A 20,974-nucleotide genomic window follows, 5' to 3' on the forward strand; every position below is an offset into this window, starting at 1 on the left:
AACCCTGCCTCTACTAAAAATACAAAAATTAGCCTGGCATGGTGGTGCATGCCTGTAATCCCAGCTACTCAGGAGGCTGAAGCAGGAGAATCACTTGAACCTGGGAGGTGGAGGTTGCAGTGAGCCGAGATCGTGCCACTGCACTCTAGCCTGGGCAACAGAGCAAGAGTCTGTCTCAAAAAAAAAAAAAAAGAAAAAAAAAAGAAAAGAAAATTTGGATGACTGTTCTGAATGACTTAAATGCTACCTACCTACCAGTCAAAGGGTGACCTGAAACTCTCTGGAAGCATCCTGCATTTCTGTAACCTTGACCTTCCAGCAGTGAGTATCACATACACAATTGTCCAAGGAAGAGAGGATTTTGAATGTTCCCAAAATAAATAAAAGATAAATGTTTGAGATGATATGCTAATTACCCTGCTTTCATCATTGCATATTGTATATATGTATTGAAATATCACTTTGGGAGGCCAAGGCAGGCGGATCACCTGAGGTCGGGAGTTTGAGACCAGCCTGATCAACATGGAGAAACCCCATCTCTACTAAAAATACAAAATTAGCTGGGCGTGGTGGTGCATGCCTATAATCCCAGCTCCTCGGGTGGCTGAGGCAGAAGAATCACTTGAACCCAGGAGGCGGAGTTTGCGGTGAGCCGAGATCGCGCCATTGCACTCCAGCCCGGGCAACAAGAGTGAAACTCCACCTCAAAAAATTAAAAAAAAAAAAAAAAAAAGAAAGAAAGAAATATCACTCTGTATCCCATAAACTTGTACAATTATAATGTGTCTACTAAAAAGATGTTAGTTCATGCACAGAAAGAAGGTGAAATATATATAAGAAGTTTAAATACATAATAAATGGTTATAGAAAATGAGATTTTCGAGAAACTTCTCTTTCTATATCATGTATTTCTATAATGTATGAATTTAGTACAACTATACACAGGTTGTTTTATTTATTTATTTTTAAATTTTTGTTGAGAACGAGTCTTGTTCTGTCATCCAGGCTGGAGTGCAGTGGTGCGATCTCGGCTCACTGCAACCTCCGCCTGCTGGGTTCAAGCAATTCTCCTGCCTCAGTCTCCCGAGTAGCTGGGATTACAGGCGCCCACCATCATGCCCGGCTAATTTTTGTATTCAGGTTGTTTATAATCAGAACTGAGGTTTAAATATATGTCTTTGCATCTCAGTAACTAAAATGATTCTAGATAATGTTCCTTAATACTCAGACATTATTATAATTTTTATTAGGAGTAAAAATAACAATAATAAATATGAATTATTTACTGAATGCCTGCTACATACCAGATGCCTTATGTTTCATCTTCACCACACCACTATGAGGTAGGCTTTATTATGTTTGATTTATAAATGAAGAAACGTGCACCTCAGGATTCAGGGAGGCTAAGTAATTTTAAAAAGATCACACAGTGAAGGACACAACTGAACCTCAAAGTTTAGAATGTTTGATACCAAAAACTGCTCAGTTTTTACAATGTCATATTGTTTTCCATATTTCTTATAAAACAATATGGCATAACAAAGTTCCAGGGTGTACTCTAATAAAGAATTTTTGAAAAAATATCACACCTGTTTTCTTCCCCCCCTCTAATTTTTCTGAGACAGGGTCTTTGTTACCCAGGCTGGAGTGCAGTAGCACAATCATAGCTCACTATAGCACGGACCTCCCAGGTTCAAGCGATCCTCTCGATCTTCCCACCTCAGCCTCCCAAGTAGCTGGGACTGTAGGCGTGTCCCACCACACCTAGCTCATTTTTATTTTTAAATCTGTAGGGATGGGGTCTCACTATGTTGCTCAGACTGGTCTTGAACTCCTGGGCTCAAGCAATCTTCCCACCTCAGCCTCCCAAAGTGTGGGATTACAGGTGTGAGCTAATGCACACCTGGCTGTTTTTACTTTACAAATAAAACTACATTAATAGAAGATGTTGTGACTTTACTAATAACCTACATTTTTGTGGAAAACTCATCCAAAGTGTTTAGATGAGAAAACTAGATATTGTGAACAACTTCTATTTAGTAGACTTCCTTCATATACCCAACAAGATACTATTTACTATGTGTGATGTACTTCTCAATTTTCATTTATTATTCATGATTTGTCAGTTAGCAATGTTTAGAATCATAATTCTATACATAAAGGATGCAAGACAAGTTCCTTACATAGTATCAACTGTAATCCTGAGAAACCTTACTTGATTATTAAAAAAAAAAATACAAACTATAAGCTAAAGCAGTATGTACAATCAACAAAACAAATACGATTACTTTAAAGTTGGATTTTTTGGGCAGGGCACAGTAGCTCACGCCTGTAATCCCAGCACTTTGGAAGGCCAAGACGGGCAGATCATTTGAGGTCAGGAGTTTGAGACCAGCCTGGCCAACATGGTGAAACCCCATCTTTACTAAAAATACAAAAAAATTAGCTGGGTGTGGTGGCACATGCCTATAATACCAGTTACTGGGGGAGGCTGAGGCAGGAGAATCGCTTGAACCCAGAAGGCAGAGGTTGCAGTGAGCCGAGATCGCACCACTGCACTCCAGCCTGGGCGACAGAGCAAGACTCTGTCTCACAAAACAAAAAAAAAAAAGTTGGCTTTTTGAAAGACAAATAAAATTGATAAATCCCTAGCAGGACTGACAAAAAAAAATTACCAATATAGAAATAGAAAAACGAACATCACTGTAGACCATCTAGACATTAAGATAATAAGACAACACTTATTCACTATAACTACTAGCATTGTCATACAGAAATACAAAGAAGTTGACTCCCCAAATTATGGTTATTGCCCTGTGATACATTAACCAGTTTTTTTTTTGAGCAATCTTATTTGACTGTTTTTTTTTTCTGATTTTCACTATCTATATTTACCTGTTTTTTCCTATTCATTAAACCAACTTTTCTGGCTGGTTTCCTCATTACTGAGTTAAATAAATCTTTGATATTCTTTCTTATTTAAAATAAATCTGAAACTAGGATTAGAGAAAACCTTCATAAATATGATAAAGATTTTCTACCAAGAAGCCTACAGCAAACATGATAATGGTAAATTATTATTAAAAGCTCCATTTACTCAAAGATTAGAAAGGAGTCAAGAATATGTGTTATCATCACTTCTATTCAGTATTATGCTGGAGTCCAAAATAATAAGACAAAGACAAAACAAAAGGATTAAAAAGGGGAAAAAGATTATTCAGAGGACATAATTGTGTGCACAGAAAATTCAAAAGAATCTACTAACATTATTATGATTAATAAAGAAATTTAGCAAGCCTGCTGAATAGAAGGGTCAATACATAAAAATCTATTTAATTTCTCTATATTAATAATAGAAAATAAAAATTTCCAAACAATTCTATTTAAAATAGTTTCAAAAAACATTGGTTATCGAGGAATAAAATTCAATGTAAGACGCGCAAGACACTGAAGTATGAAGTATAAAGAAAATCCAAATAAATGAAGGGGTATATCATGTTCATAGAGACTTGATATTAGAAAGATGTCACTTCTCAGCCAGGCGCGGTGGCTCATGCCTGTAATCCCAGCACTTTGGGAGGCCAAGACGGGCAGATCACCTGAGGTCAAGAGATCAAGACCATCTTGGCCAACATGGTGAAACCCCGTCTCTACTAAAATACAAAAAATTAGCCGGGCATGGTGGCTCATGCCTGTAGTCCCAGCTACTTGGGAGGCTGAGATAGGAGAATCACTTGAACCCAGGAGGCGGTGGTTGCAGTGAGCTGAGATCGCACCACTGCACTCCAGCCTGGCGAAAGAGCAACACTCTGTCTCAGAAAAAAGAAAGCTGTCACTTCTCATCATATTGATCTAAGACAACACTGTCTAGGCCCGGCGTGGTGTCTCATGCCTGTAATCCCAACACTTTGGGAAGCTGAGGTGGGAGGATCACCTGAGGTTAGCAGTTTGAGACCAGCCTGGCCAACATGGTGAAACCGTGTCTCTACTAAAAATACAAAAATTATAGTCGGGCGTGGTGGTGCGTGCCTGTAATCTCAGTTACTCAGGAGGCTGGGGCAGGAGAATCATTTGAACCCAGGAGGTGGAGGTTGCAGTGAGTTGAGATTGCACCACTGTACTCTGGCCTGGGCAACAGAATGAGACTCCGACTCAAAAAAAAAAAAAAAAAAAAAAAGATACAAAAATTAGCTAGGAATGGTGGTGTGCACCTGCAGTCCCAGCTACTTGGGAGGCTGAGGCATGAGAATTGCTTGAACCTGGGAAGCAGAGGCTGCAGTGAACCAAAAATGCGCCATTGCACTCCAGCCTGGGTGACAGAGTGAGACTCTGTCTCAAAAAAATAAATAAATAAAAATAAAGCAACACTGTCTAATAGAAATATGTGATCCACATATAAAATTAAAACATTTTGGTGGCCACATTAACAACAAAAACAGGTGAAATTAATTTTAATAATTTTATTTAATCCAATGTATCAAAAATATTAATGAATTTTACATTTTTGGTATGAAATCCTTGAATTCAGTGTGTATTTGATGACTATAGTACATCTGAACTTAAACTGGCCACATATTACATGTTCAACAGCCACATGTGGCTAGTGGCTACCATACTGGACAGCACAGATTTACAGATCTGATGTAATCCTAATCAAAATTGAAGCAGATATTTTTGTGGAAATCAACGTGCTGATTCTTGAAAAATAACAATACTAGAAAATATAACCACCACATATTGAGACTTATTATAAAACTATACGAAGAGAATGTGGCATCGGTTCAAGGATAGAAATAGACTGACGGAAAAGAATAGGGTCAGGAAACACATGTGTGGTCACCTGATTATGATAAAGCAGGACACCAGGGAAAGCATGCTGATTTCATTAAATTGTGCCGAGTCAGTGCCTTACAGGAACAAAAAAAAAGATCTTGACTCCTAATGCATTACATTACATACATACAAAAATCAGTTCTAGATGGATTGTAGAGTTAAATGATAAAAAACCTTTCAGAGGAAAACAGGAAAAAAAATCTTCACACCATTGGGAATAGGCAAAGATGACTTAAACCGGACACACACAAAAAAACACGGATAAATGAGACTAAAAATGATTTGCTTACTTCTTCCGGATGAAAGGTAGGAGGCAAGGTTGGTGAAGGTGCAAAAGGAGGTGGAGAGATAACCTTTCTTTCCTCTAGCTGGGCCATTATTTCCTTTCGTCGGCGATGTAGTTCATCTAGACTAGGATGAGGCTGGGGAGGAGGAGGAAGCCGGCTATAAGGAGGTTCCTAAAAATAGAAAGATTAGTTAAAATTGAAAGAGAATTTCAGGACAGATTAATTCATTTAATATACTCAGCGTATATTTTAAGTTATGAAACAGCTTGTATACCCTTCTTAACATTTGGAAACACCAACACTTAACAGAACAAAGTAAAACAAAACCCCCCAAACTCTCAAGATCTTCCAAATAGCTAAATTTAGGTTTCTTTTATTTGGTCATAATTACCAAGTAGATCTAGAATTGTTAATTAAACCATCTAAAGTTCAGAAACTAAGAAAGGTTAATTGTGGGGAGGAGGCAGATTTTTTTCTCATTATATAGTTTAAAAAAAAAAAATACCCAAATTATGAAAAGATTTAAAAAAAAAAGAAGCTCTCTTATAAAAAAGAATTCATCAAAGGGTTATTGTCATTGCATAAAAAGTAAGGAATCACAGCAAGCAACAGTCAAATTAAGTCTATGTAATAAAAAAAAATACAGCATACTCTGAGGTACGAAGGTCTGATCTGAGTTGGATGAGGAGCCACTGGATAGTAACTCTCGATCTGTTGGTATCTTTCTCTGGATTCTGGTACATACGATGGTACTGCTGCAGGTGGAATCTCAATGGGTATAGGGCTTTCTCGGAATATCTCTTCTCTTGTGTAAGACGGAGCAGGGTACACTCGACGGCCATCATAGTGAGATGGGTATATAGGTGGGTACTGCTGTGGCTGTGTGCCATACTGAGAGTTTACAACACGTTCTTGGAGGTAGGGTGGATAATGATCCAAGTAGGGAGGAGCAGGTTCAGGAGCAGATGGTGGAGGTCGGACAAAGCGGGACACACATTGTGGTGGTGGAGTATAATACATACCTGCACAATACAAAAGAGGACCCAAAAGCAAATAATGAGCCAATTTAGTTTTCTATGTAAGATTTTACCTTTTAAAATACTGAAACACTAAAGTATTGATAATCTACTTATTTCTTTACGAGTTTTCCATCTGCTTATATAATCAGGTTAGCTTTTTAAAAAATAAGCAAAAATTATCTGTAAAAGTCATTGAAAAAACTACCCTACTTATAATCTATAATAGTAGATTGGCTCTCATTGTTTGACCCTCTTTCTGGTGTGTCTTAATGCAATGAAGACACTGGAAAACAAAAAAACTACATTTCCCAGATATCCTTGAAGTCAGGTTCCACAAATCAATCACTTGCATGAGTTTTGAATTTGAAACTGAAATAACTGGGAGGAGACATGGAACACAAAAGGCCAATTTTGCTGGCGCAGATTAGTAGCTACTGCTTGGCTCTACAGTTCTTGAGACAACAGTTGTGGCAATAGTTTCTCAGTTTTCCAACTTTTGCCTCAAATGACGTGATCTTGGAATTAAGCAGTTAGGACAGAAGTTTCTACTTCTACTGCTTCTTCATTGTAACAAGTTCTCTTGGCAGCTAACTCTGGAGCACTGTTTGCTTCTTTAGTACCTCCACCAATATGGCAGGCACCTAACTCCTGCACTAAATCTCTTTCTGCTTAATATAGCTAAAATAATTTACCTAAAATTGAAAACAGGCTACAAAAAGAGTTGCATTTTTTCCTATAATGGATGGTCAAAGGAAGATACAAATCACGTTTTATCATATTTTGCATGAATTAGTAATGCCATATCAATTAAAAAACATTCTCATGAATGAATGTAGAGAAGACAACATGATTCAAAATTAAATGACAGACTCGGAAAAAGAAGACAGCACTTTTAATCTATTCCCATTTTAAAAATTATAGTACTATACTGCTTCTGACAGAGAGATCCAACACTTAAAATCATTCAGTGTTTATTTTACATATAAACTATATATGTAAAACGTTAGTTTATTTTCTTTCCTTCATTCTCCATACCTGGTATTATCATTAAAGCTGGCTAATTTTCAAATTTGTCTATTTTTGAAATCCCTTCTTCTCCTTTCCCACCACACTAATTCGTCAGTACTCACACCAGGATTAACAGCCTCCTAACTCAACTCTCATTTTTCCAATCCATTCATAACTTTTTTTTTTCTATTCCAAATACCTCTAGGGCATTTCTTCCATTAAGTCTTTTTGATTCCTCAAGTTCTCAATGATCTCCCTTGAGTCTTTCAGTCAATCTCTATCAAGCTAATATTAACCACAACAGATCACTTAATTTTTAACACATACATAAACACCACACACATGCATCTACTACTCATGCATATAGTTTTCTATTCTTTACCATTATTTATTCTATTCTGTAAACTCTCTAAAGGTGTGTATGCTGCATTTTTTCATATATATTACAGGGCCCAGAAAAATAATAATTAAAAGAAGAAAAATGTACTGTGGGTGTTTAATTTACACACACTATAATATTAATTCTTTTTTCATGCTTGAAGAAAATTTTGGTCAGGAGAATATATGCTGCCTTACTCAGCAAATTTCCATTGCCTACTTGTGTAACTTGTTATTTCCATAAATATTATATATGAACACATGTATTATGCAACTGCTTTTAGTAGATATGGCGGTTTGATTTTTATTACTTTGTTTCATTTATTTCATAGTATTTAGTTAATCATAAAATCTCAATTTTTCCAAAGTATTAAAAAATGCATTTATACATTTACTTATCTTAAAGAGGCTACTGTGTAAATGATCACTCTGACCTGAAGAACAGTTCTGATAATTCCTAAGAAAAGTTAGCAATATAAATTTAAAATCGTTACCCTGCTGATAAGGTGCTGGTTCAAATGGCGGAGCTGCTCCTCGAGGATCCTGATAATAAACATCCGTCTGTTGTGCTGGATATAACTGAGAACCTCGAGGTACCATCTGAAGTGGTTTGGTAACAGGCATTGGAGGCAGATCTGCTGGCCCCCTTGGAGGTATAGAATGTGGATTCACAGGTAAGGCAGAAATACTCTTAGGAACAGATTCTAGCCTAAGGGAATAATATTATGGAAGTTGTTTAAAAAATACTTCTCATGTGCATAAATTGTTACAAGTAAAAAAGATTGCTACAATTTGGGAAACTCACTTATTCTAATAGTCCTCCCTTCTACAAAATTTGCAATTTTTAAATCTTATTTCCCCTATGTTAATTGTTTCTTTTCTTTTTTTTTTGAGACAGAGTCTCGCTCTGTTGCTCTGTCGCTCTGTCACCCAGGCTGGAGTGCAGTGGTGCAATCTCGGCTTACTGCAACCTCCGCCTCCTGGGTTCAAGCGATTCTCATGCTTCAGCCTCCCAAGTAGCTGGGATTACAGGCATGTGCCACCATGCCTGGCTAATTTTTGTATTTTTAGTAGAAATGGGTTTCATCATGTTGGCCAGGCTGGTCTCGAACTTCTGGCCTCAAGTGACCCGTCCACCTCAGCCTCCCAAAGTGCTGGGATTATAGGCATGTGCCACCATGCCTGGCTATGCTAATTGTTTCTTAAAAAACACTAGCATGGGAAATAAAAAAGCAACAAAATAAAGGCCAAAAAAAATAATCAGGGTTTTTTTTTTTTAAATCCCAAACATTAATTATTCTATCTTCCTTCGACTTTATGAAGAAGAAATTTTGAAATAAGAGTTAGAAAAATGACGTACAGGTCAGGAGGGGATCCAGGAGCACTACTGCTCAGATGATCTATTTTTCCTGGTTTCAGACTAGAATCATAGCTGGGGTCTGTCCCTCGCGGAATAAGCTGTGTTACTGTATTCCCTGTTGATACAATTCCATTTGGCAGAGCAGGAGGTTTTCTGCTAGGGAGATCCACTGCACCTTCATCTGGAAGGATAGCTGCTGAAGGCAGGCCCACCTCATTAAGTTGACCCAAAGAGGCACTCAAGGGTCTTCTCGGAACCAGGCGCTTATTCATTTTACGAAATCTATATAAAAAGCATAGGCACATATCAAAAAGCAAATATAAAAGCAAAACCAAGAACTAAAATGTACTTAATATTATTTTCTAGAAATATTCTCTCTTGAAACATTAACTCTATCAGTGTGTATATTTTGCATAAAATCTCTAGCAGCAAGACATATTAAGTATAAAATTCCTCATAAAAATGTGTAACATAGGCCGGGTGCTGTGGCTCATGCCTGTAATCCCAGCACTTTGGGAGGCCGAGGCAGGCGGATCACGAGGTTAAGATCGAGACCAGTCTGGCCAACATGGTGAAGCTCCGTCTCTAATAAAAATACAAAAATTAGCTGGGTGTGGTGGCGTGTGCCTGTGGTCCCAACTACTAGGGAGACTAAGGCAGGAGAATCACTTGAGCCTGGGAGACAGCGGTTGCAGTGAGCCGAGATCACACCACTGAACTCCAGCCTGGCGACAGAGCGAGATTCTGTCTCAAAAAAAAGAGTAACATTTGTCATATTATAAATTATGCTATTAATATTTTTGCTATAATATATTTCTGTGGACATTTGTATTTCTAAAACTTATTGGAGAAGCTAGTAGAAAAATCTTTAGAAGATAGTTTCTGAAATATTTTACTTCAGCTCTCCCTCAAATGCCTTGGGATACAATGAGCCAATGTTAAAAAATTAGGAATAAAAGAAAAACAAAGCCAGTATGCACTGTGAAACATTTGTCATTTACTCTGTTAAAAAATTTAAGCAGCCAGGCACTGTGGCTCACACCAGTAATCCCAGCACTCTGGGAGGCTGAAGCGGGCGAATCACTTGAGCTCAGGAGTTTGAGACTAGCCTGAGCAACATGGTGAAACCTTGTCTTTACCAAAAATATAAAAACTTAACCGGGTGTGGTGGTGCATGCCTGTGGTCCCAGCTACTCGGGAGGTTGAGGCGGGAGGATCACTTGAGCCTGAGGCAGAGGTTGCAGTGAGCCAAGATTGCACCACTGTACTCCAGCCTGGGCAACACAGTGAGACCCTGTTTCAAAAAAAAATTTAAGCAATTAAGGATAGTGACTTTTATTAGAACTGCTTCAGAGATGCTGATGTTATGTATGCCAATACAAAATTAAAGTTATTTTAAAAGTAGGTTAATGGAACCAATACAGAATAATTGCCTGGGTTTAAAGAGATGCTGTGGTACAACAAGCACATCGATTCTGAAATCTAACCAAAGGAAAAAATATAAGCCATCAGACTCCAGGATCTTTGTTCCTCAACAATGAAAGCAAGTCCATTTACAACTGCTAATGCATTTTTATTTTGAAAAATAAAACCTCGGCTTGGCGCGGTGGCTCATACCTGTAATCCCAGCACTTTGGGAGGCCGAGGCGGGCAGATCACCTGAGGTCAGGAGTCAAGACCAGCCTGACCAATATGGTGAAACCCCATCTCTACTAAAAATACAAAAATTAGCTGGGTGTGGTGGCAGGCACCTGTAGTCCCAGCTACTCAGGAGGCTGAGACAGGAGAATTGCTTGAGCCCGGGAGGCGGAGGTTGCAGTGAGCCGAGATTGTGCCACTGCACTCCAGCCTGGGCGACAGAGCGAGACCCTGTCTCAAAAAACAAAAAAAAAAAGTAAATAAAAAAATAAATAAAACCCCATCAGAGTAATAATGCTATTTTTCCACGTTTCCCAAAACTGACAAATTTCTGAGGTTGGGGAGAAAACTACCCCTCAGGGGTAATTATTGTTGAAAGTCTAGTGTATCATTATATGGAATTGTTCCTTTATACATTAGCTTTATATTCATATAAGATTATTATTTGCAGCAGTTGAGTCATATATTACTGCTAATTTTTCCCTCCACTTAATAATCTTAGACATCCCTTTATGTCAGTTCATTTTAGGCTGGTTGGGTTTTTTTTGGCTATTAAAATAATGTGCTGGGCACAATGGCTCACGCCTGTAATCCCAGCACTTTGGGAGGCTGAGGTGGGTGGATTCACTTGAGCTCAGGTATTCAAGAACAGCCTGGGAAACATGGGAAAACTGTCTCTACCAAAAATACAAAAATTAGCTGGGCATGGTGGCATGCACCTGTGGTCCCAGCTTCTCGGGAGGCTGAGGTGAGAGGATCATTGGAGCCTGGAAGTCGAGGCTGCAGTGGGCCATGATTGCATCACTGCACTCCAGCCTGGGAGACAGAGTAAGACCCTGTCTCAAAAAAAAAGTAACAGATAATTATGAACATGTACTTGCACCCTGTGTGAATAACCAAATAAGCAAAGGCAGAATGAGGTCAAAGAGCACGCAAATTAGAAATTTTTATGTCATACTGCTCTCTAAAACTATTTTAAGTCCTACTGATCATGAAGAAAAACGTCTTTCAAAACCTCATCAAATACTGGGTAGCACTGGTCTTGTTAATTTGGTAGTCCAAAAATACTAAGTTGCTTTAATTTGCATTTCTTTAACAACTAGTGAGATTGAACATAGTTTCACAGGATAATTGGCCATTAGTATTTCTTCCGTAAACTATGTTTATGATCCATAAATCTATTGGTTCCTCTCCTTCCTACAGACTTGTAAGAGCTCATTTTATGTTAGGATATCAGCCCTCTGTGTGTCATTTCCTCACCAAGCTTTTTATAAAAAACTGTATTTGTACCATATCTTAGTTTTATAATTTTTATGTAATCAAATTTATCAATCTTTTCCTTTATGGATGCTGGGTTGCAGTTCTTAAAAAAATCTTTTCCTTCTTTCCTTATTTAACAACTAAAAACAAACAAACAAAAATCCTCTTAACTACTCTGTGGTTTCTTGCCTTCCTAAATATTTAAATCTCTTATACATCTAGAGTTCATTTTAGTATAAAGATTGTGGTAAGAATCCAGCTCTATTTTTCAAATAGGTGACAGTTATTTTCCATCATTCATTTGGTCACTGATGTGAAATGCCACCTTTAGCACATATGCTAAGCTCCTATATGCATCTCAAACTCCTCCTAGATTCTCTATTGCATTTCATTAATCTATCTATTCCTACGCAAAAGACTAAAGTCTTTTATTCACTGTAGTCCATAATACAGGTAAATAGTTATTAGTCTAGTTCCTGTCTAAAACTTCCAGAATTTTCAGAATTTTCCTTGCTATTTGTACCTATTTATTCTTTACAAATGAATTTTTGATAGGATCTTAACATCATCATGGTGAGATTTAAATTCGGATTTCTTGGAATTTGTTGTTTATGGGAAAATGAAACTTTTATAGCATCAAACCTTATCCAAGAACACAGTATATTTACTCAATATTTCTCTTATGTTCCTAGGTAATTTATTGGTTCAATTTATATACACCCTGGAAGAGATCCTTAATTTTAACTTATTTTTAAACTGGTTATGTTTCTCTTTTTAGTTTACACGAGGGCAATTCATGTTTGTGATTTTTAAAATTTGCCATCTTACTAAATTCTCATTTCTTTTGTTTCTAGTACTAAAGTTTTTCCCAATAATTTTATGGCTATGTTATTCTTTCTTACATACATTAGCTACTACTTCCACAATGTTAAATAACAGTGGTAGAAAATTTTACTACTAATTACTAGCAGAAAATTTTGCTTTATCCTTGACTTTAATGAGAGTGAATCGAATATTTTACTAATTAAGCATCATACTATTATGTTGGCTTCTGATTTATAATATAATTTATTACCATGCTGAGAAAGTATGGCATTTCTGTTGTATTAAGGAATTTTGATTTTTTTTTTTTTTTTTTTGGAGACAGAGTCTCGCACTGTCGTTCAGGCTGGAGTGCTACGGTGCAATCTCGGCTCACTGCAACCTCCACCTCCCGGGTTCAAGCGATTCTCCTGCCTCAGCCTCCCGAGTAGCTTGGTCTACAGGCGCATGCCACCACACCCAGCTAATTTTTGTGTTTTTAGTAGAGACGGGGTTTCACAATGTTGGCCAGGATGGTCTCAATCTCTTGACCTTGTGATCCGCCCGCTTCAGCCTCCCAAAGTGCTGGGAGCCACCGGCGCCTGGCTGGAATTTGATTTTTAATTGACATTCAATTTTATTCAAAGGCCTTTGGCATTTTTTGGATATTATCATGTTATTTTCTAAGTTGTGATAATTATATTGTACTACTTTTGCAGAGTCATGGCATCTATTTTCTTTTCTTTAAAAAAAAATTATATTATTTATATTAAAAAAAAAAACCTACAGCACCCAATATTCCCAGGTAGTCTCCCATCCAAGTACTAACTGGGCCTGACCATGCTTAGCTTCCGAGATCAGATGAGCTCAGGTGGATTCAGGGTGTTATGCCCTTAGACATGGCATCTATTGTAATGTATTACTGAATTATATTTAAATTTTTGAGATTTTTAATATTAATACTTGCAGTAGATTTGCAGTTTTAATTGTGTTATCTTTGTCAAATTTAATGAAAGTGTTACATTGGATTTATAAATAAATTAAGAGGCGGTGGGTGTGGTGGCTCCTGCCTGTAATCCTAGCACTTTGGGAGGCCAAGGCAGGAGGCTCCCTTAAGCCCAGGAGTTTGAGACCAGCCTGGGCAACATAGGGAGACCCTGTCTCTATTTTTAAAAAATAAAATAAAATAAAATAAAAATAAAAAAAATTAAGAGGTTTTTCCTTTCTTTCTTCAATGAGCTGAAAAATTTAACATCCCTGAAATTATCTTGTCCTTGAAGTTTAAAAGAATCTGTTAAACTGAGCCAAGGGCAAAATTTTCCACTGGAAATACATCATGCAATTAGTTAAATTAAGTTAAAATTGATTAAAATTATTATAATTTTAATTTTTTTTGTAGTGAAAATGACCCACTTTTAGATTTAGCTAATCATAAAATAGTTTCCTATCTATAGGCATGATGCAATAAAAGCTGAAGAAACTGCTTTTCATTTTTAAAAATTATGTACAGGTTGAATATCTCTTACCCGAAATGCTTGAGACCAGAAGTGTTTCAAGATTTGGATTTGTCTTGGATTTTGGAATATTTGCATATACATAAGGAGATGTCTTGGGGATAAGACCCAAATATATAACATGAAATTCATTTATATTTCATATACATCTTTTACACATAGTCTGAAAGTAATTTTATACATTATTTTAAATAATTTTGTGCATGAAGTTTTGACTGCTATCCATCACAAGGTCAAGTGTGGAATTTTCAACTTGTGGTGTCAAGTTGGCTTTCAAGCATTTTTGGATTTTGAAGCATTTCAGATTTTCAGAATAGGAATGTTCAAGCTGTGTTACATTCTAAAAATGTCCTATTCATTTAAGATAAAGCAGCTACTCTTTCTGTATTTCTGTATGTCAGCGAATTATTCCACTTACACCTTATTCCAAAGTCTCCTGACTTTCACACTTACTTTTCCAGTTCCTCCTGTGAGTGTGCAAATGTACAGCTGGCCCCACGAGGGCATCCTCCTCTCTGCTTCATATCTCGACACATGTATGTTTTGTATTTGCTATGCTGTGGAGGCTAAAACCAAAATCAAAACATTAGATGTGTAATAACCCCCCACAAAAAAACATAAATTTTGTGTTGTCATTTTAGGATCTTGATAATCTAGATAAGTAATTCACATATTTATTTAGATTACCAAGAGCAAAAGTGCTGGAAAGTCATTCTGTCTGAAGTTTCAAAGTCCAAATATAAATAAAGCAAAAACAAAGAAGGTAGTCCTAATTTTTCTGATATGTTGATATTAATTCTCAAACAAGTAGCATAATATAAATTCTTGAATAAATCTCATGGGCATTCTTATACTTGTATTATATGGAAAAAGAAAAAGCTCATGGGGACACTATGATCTCATTTCCACTTTTTTTTTTTTTTTTTTTGAGAAGGAGTCTTACTCTGTTGCCCGGGCTGGAGGGCAGCGGCGCAATCTTGGCTCACTGCAACTTCCACCTCCCCGGCTCAAGCGATTCTCCTGCCTCAGCCTCCTGAGTAGCTGGGATTACAGGTGTCCACCACCGCACCTGGCTAATTTTTGTATTTTTAGTAGAGACAGGGTTTCATCATGTTAGCCAGGCTGGTCTCAAACTCCTGACCTCAAATGATCCGCCTGCCTCAGCCTCCCAAAGTGCTTGGGATTACAGGTGTGAGCCACTGTGCCCAGCCCATTTCCACATTTTATAATGAAAAAACAAACCACTGTAGTTTAAGACTTTCAAATATATAAATTATCTTCTAATATTTGTTTTGTACAATGTTCAATATAGCTATATGTATGTTTCCATACAACATACCACAAAAACTACAAAAGGCCCTATAATCAAAGAATATTCTGTAACTAATTCTTCTTGACATGCAGAATAATATATGAAGAACTTAAAATAGTTCCAAAAGTACAAATGACACTTATTATTTATAACTCAAGGATAAGGCAGGAGGATGGATTTGAAAGTTAATGAAATATGAGACACAACACTAAACTGGACAAAATTTAGTGTATTTTATCACTATATGGCAGACTTTAAAGGTTAGTCTCATTACTCTTGTTATTTTCTTCAAGATGTCTAATGAAACAGAGAGTTAAAAACTGTAGGTTCTCCTTTCTTTTATGCCTATTCATAAATAAAGCTTTGACCTGTGTTAGATAGGTTAGGAAAATCATATCCAGATTATTTTACTTAGCAGGATAATTTTTATATTTCTTGCCTCTTAAGCAAAAAGGAATACTGAGTAACCTATTTATATTTACCTGAACCAGGTAAATTAAGAGTTTTACGTTCACAGGCTTACTACTGCAAAATAAAAGATCTAATGAACCTAATATAAATCCTGAGAGCAAAATAAAATTACTGGGAATAAAATTTAAAACTCTAGCTATAAGAAGTTATTATATTCTACCATCGTATTTTCATCTAAAAACTTTGAGGGAGATTTGGCCCAATGGCATAAGACATTATGAATGAAAAAAATCTTAAAATATTAATAAGAAAATCTATAGAAATTTGAACAGTATTGGAAAGACACAGTATTAGCACTAAAAAGTGATACTTATTGTCAAACCAAAATGTTAAACAAACTAAAGAGAATAATAATCTTATATAAATGGAATAAACTTCAGCACTGAATCCATTTTCTCCATCAAATGCTGCCATATCCAATGTGAAGACTGACCCCAGCATGACATCAGATCAATAAGGATTATTTAATGTCAATATTGTCAGATAAAGTTATCAGCCTAATGCAGTAAACTGTTAACCATGCCAAGGTAATTTACAGTTTCTATACTCAGAGTCTCAAAATGTTCATGTTATCTTTTTGGCTTTGTATCTGTAGGTATACCCACAGTGGTTTACCTATAGTTTTAAGGCATATCCACAGTGGGTTAACTCTAAGTTTTAAACAGCTTCCTTACCTGCTGCTGATCTGCTCCTTTTTTGCTGTGGTTCTGGATATAATCAACCAGCCCATGTACCACTGTACGCACAGCAACCAGCCCATTTTCCAGCTGTTCCCAAGTAGGAGGAGGAGCATCTATACAACCAATGATAATGTTTTAAACTCTAATGTTACTCAAAATTTTCCCTAATATCAAATTAATAAAAGAGTTACTTGAAAACATTTCAGTGAAATCAAGCTTCACACCTTAGCTTTTTAGATAATAGCTTATTCACCTAACCATCATTTTAAAGGAATGGACATATTCTTTCAAAGCTGGGGTTGCAAACTGAAATAACCATAGGAACAAGAAAGGTAACATGAAAGAGGTAAATAGGCCACACAATAGTGGTAACTGTCATTAGACTCTCAGTGTTGAGGAGACAACAACGAGTGACAGGGACTGCTGAACTGGGGAGCATGTCCCTCATCTAAGAGTATGGTTATAACTCAGCTTTAGATGATTGTTGTTATGTGATGATGCAAGGCTGGCACTGCCAGATACATTCACTGTTTCCCAGGGAAACCTGAAACTTGAGATTTTTAAGTAAAAATTTCCCAGTTTTAAAATATTGGCATCTAAGAAATTTAGACCATTGCTCAGACCAACACTGTGTGGATTAAACAAAACTGAGGACTGTCTACAGTTAGTCAATTTGCATGTTTATTTTGAACTTTTATATAAATAAAGTTTTGGTAAACAAAAAGCTTAAAAAGTTTAATAAGCCGGGCACAGTGGCTCAGGCCTGTAATCTCAGCACTTTCGCAGGCCGAGGTGGGCAGATCACAAGATCAAGAGATGGAGACCATCCTGGCCAGCATTGTGAAACCCCGTCTCCACTAAAAATACAAAAATTACCCAGGCATGGTGGCACGCGCCTATAGTCCCAGCAACTTAGGAGGCTGAGGCAGGAGAATCGCTTGAACCCGGGAGGCGGAGGTTGCAGTGAGCCGAGATTGCACCACTGCACTCCATCCTGGTGACAGAGAGAAACTCCATCTCAAAAAAAAAAAAAAAAAGTTTAATAGAAGAACTATCATATAAAGTAACTCTGCTACATGTTTTCTTCATTTAGTAGGTATTTGCCCAGTGCCAGCACTATGATTTATAAAAGAAAAATTAACTATAAGGCTAAATATATTCTTTAAAAGAAATATGTAAAATGAAACAAGAAGAGAGATGTAGAGATAACTTCTTGCTCAGACACCCTGAAAGAATTCTAGGGGATGGCATTTGAACTGGGCTTTGAAGGACACATGGAATCTGAAAAGGAAAAAAGGTGAAGAAAACAAGTATTCAAAAAAGTAGTTTTTGGAACACTTGCTAAATCTGAGTTATTGTTCTAGTTGTTGGGTAAGCAATAGTGATTAAAACAAAAATCCCCATTATATTCAAGGAGAAGAGCCAGATAATAACCAAGACAAATAAGCAAAATATACAGTAGTATTTAGATAATGTTGAATTCAAAAAATAGAGCTAAGAAGAGAAGTGGGGCCAATGTGTAAAATTTTAGACAGAGGCAATCCACCCATCTTGGCCTTCCAAAGTGCTGGGATTACAGGCATGAGCCACTGCGCTCTACTAAAAATACAAAAAAATTAGCTGGGCATGGTGGCACACGCCTGTAGTCCCAGCTACTCCGGAAGCCAAGGTAGGAGAATCACTTCAACCTGGGAGGCGGAGGTTGCAGTGAGCTGAGATTGCACCACTGCACTCCAGCCTGGTCAATAGAGGGAGACTGTCTCAAAAAAAAAAAAAAAAAAAAAAAAAAAAATTTAGACAGAGGCCAGAAAAGTCCTCCTTGAGAAGGTTACATTTGATTAAAGACCTGAAAGAAGGGTTTAAGTGTGCCTACTGGAGACTTTCAAATATATAAATTATCTTCTAATATTTGTTTTGTACAATGTTCAATACAGCTATATGTATGTTTCCATACAACACACCACAAAAACTACAAAAGGCCCTATAATCAAAGAATATTCTGTAACTAATTCTTCTTGACATGCAGAATAATATACCAAGGGAAAAACATCCAAGTTAGAGGGAAGAATAAGTGCAAAGTCCTTGATGTAAGAAGTGTGCCTGGCATGTTGCATGGAGGTGGAATCAGAGAGGAGGGAATTAAGTGGAAAAAAAGGGTAGGAAATGAGGTTTGAGAGAGGTAGTAGAAGACCAGATCACATGAGGCCCTATAGATCATGGGAAGGATACTGGGTTTTACTCTGAGTTGATAGAAAGCCACAGGAGAATTTATGAGCAGAGGGTGACAGGGTCGCTCCGGCTCTTTTGTTAAAATCAGACAGACAACAGGAGGCTATTCCATAATCCCCTGAGAGATGGGGATGGTAGCAGTGAAGGTAAATGGATTCTGGATGGATTTTAAAGGTAGGGCCTACAGAATTTGCTAATGGATCAGATATACATTATGAGAGAAAGAAGAGGTTTTTGGACTAAGCAACTGGAATGACAGAGTTGCCACAAACAGGATGGCAGGGGAGAGCTCATTTTTAGATAGATTCAGTTTGAAATGCTTATCAGATATAAGATGATAGATGCTGAGAAAGCAGTTTTGTTTTGTTTTTTTGATGGAGTCTCGCTCTGTCATCAGGCTGGAGTGCAGTGGCATGATCTCTGCTCACTGCAACCTCCATCTTCCGGGTTCAAGCAATTCTCCTGTCTCAGCCTCCCAAGTAGCTGGGACTACAGGTGCCTGCCACCACGCCCAGCTAGTTTTTGTATTTTTAGTAGAGACGGGGTTTCACCATGTTGGCCAGGATGGTCTTGATCTCTTGACCTTGTGATCCGCCCGCCTTGGCCTCCCAAAGTGCTGGGATTACAGGCGTGAGCCACTGCACCCGGCCGAGAAAGCAGTTTTATATACAAGTTCAGGAAAAAGGCATGGGCTGGATATATATTTCAAATTCTAAAAGACTATCAATTGTAATACGTACTACTTTATGTGCCAACAAAGAAAAAAAAGGTTGTTAATTATAATATGTCTTCATACAAATGCATTCCAATTTCAGAAATGCTAAGATCTGAAATAATTATGAACCTCAGAACTGATAAAAATACAGTAAATTTGGCCGGGCGCGGTGGCTCACGCCTGTAATCCCAGCACTTTGGGAGGCCGAGGCGGGCGGATCACGAGGTCAGGAGATCGAGACCATCCTGGCTAACAAGGTGAAACCCCGTCTCTACTAAAAATACAAAAAATTAGCCGGGCGTAGTGGCGGGCGCCTGTAGTCCCAGCTACTTGGGAGGCTGAGGCAGGAGAATGGCGTGAACCCGGGAGGCGGAGCTTGCAGTGAGCCGAGATCCCGCCACTGCACTCCAGCCTGGGCGACAGAGCGAGACTCCGTCTCAAAAAAAAAAAAAAAAAAAAAAAAAAAAAAAAAAAAATACAGTAAATTTGTGAGTTACATAAATTATATTTGAAGCTATGGGATAGATAAGATTATCTAGGAAACAGATATAGGATTAAACTCTGAGAACACTCCAAAGAGTACAGGATATGAAGATGAGAAAGCAGAGGATGCTGAGGAGAGTCCAATAAAGAAGAGAATTAGTAGCCTAGAAGCCAAGAAAAAAGCATTTCAAGGAAGAGAGAGTACAGAACAATGGCCAGGCATGGTGGCTCATGCCTGTAATCCTAGCACTTTGGGAGGCTGAGGCAGGCGGGTCACCTGAGTTCAGGAGTTTGAGAACAGCCTGGCCAAGATGGTGAAACCCTGTTTCTACTAAAGATACTAAAAATAAATAATAAGAATAATAAGAATAATAAATTAGCTGGATGTGGTGGTACAAGCCTGTAATCCTAGCTACTCGGGACAAGAATTGCTTGAACCAGGCAGAGGTTGCAGTGAACCGAGATCTTGCCATTGCCTCCAGCCTGGGGGACAGAGTGAAACTGTATCTCCAAAAAAAAAAAAAAAGTTAAATGCTGCTAAATCAAGTACAGTAAGAACTGAGAACTGACTTTTGGAATTAGCTACATGGAAGTAATTTATGACCTTGACAAAATAAGTTTGGATAGAGCAGTGGAGATAAATGCCTGACTGGAGTTGAGTTCAAGAGTGTGCCAAAAAAAGAAATGAAGTGGTAGGTAGATGAGAAATGGGGTCAAAAATGGTTTAGGAACTTGTGAAAGTTCTCTTTTGACTGCTCAGGATGATCAAAGGACAGCAGTCAGGGAAAAAAATCACTATATATTCTAGTAACATTGATCTGGTTTACTAAGCAATTTTGGGAGCAAATCTATAAAAGTAGGCTGATAAAAAACTAAGAGGGCTCTGAATGCCATAGTCAAGAGTGTCAAACCTTATTCCGTAAGCAATTCTACAAACAATGAAAGTTTATGAGTGTGGAAGGAAGATCAGGGATGTGATTTCTTTT

The 20,974-nt window shown here is 37.5% G+C and overlaps 1 protein-coding gene and 1 pseudogene across 20 annotated transcripts in view; both read right to left on the bottom strand.

Moving 5' to 3' along the window:
• Nucleotides 1–20,974, bottom strand: part of RC3H1 (ring finger and CCCH-type domains 1) — a 91,274-nt gene that overhangs the window by 24,870 nt on the left and 45,430 nt on the right. For 14 of the 20 annotated variants that reach the window (XM_047447104.1, XM_047447095.1, XM_047447093.1 and 11 more), the window contains 6 exons: nt 16,556–16,674; nt 14,552–14,664; nt 8,886–9,167; nt 8,020–8,234; nt 5,772–6,142; nt 5,124–5,291 (listed from right to left, as the gene is read on the bottom strand). In XM_047447104.1, coding sequence (XP_047303060.1) covers nt 5,124–5,291; nt 5,772–6,142; nt 8,020–8,234; nt 8,886–9,167; nt 14,552–14,664; nt 16,556–16,674 — 1,268 coding nt within the window. The remainder of the gene's footprint in view (nt 1–5,123; nt 5,292–5,771; nt 6,143–8,019; nt 8,235–8,885; nt 9,168–14,551; nt 14,665–16,555; nt 16,675–20,974) is intronic. The other 6 variants (XM_047447096.1, XM_047447106.1, XM_047447102.1 and 3 more) reach the window with 1 other exon arrangement.
• On the bottom strand, nt 13,365–13,483 carry RNA5SP68 (RNA, 5S ribosomal pseudogene 68; annotated as a pseudogene).

Source organism: Homo sapiens, chromosome 1, assembly GCF_000001405.40.
Source record: "Homo sapiens chromosome 1, GRCh38.p14 Primary Assembly".
NCBI lineage: Eukaryota > Metazoa > Chordata > Mammalia > Primates > Hominidae > Homo > Homo sapiens.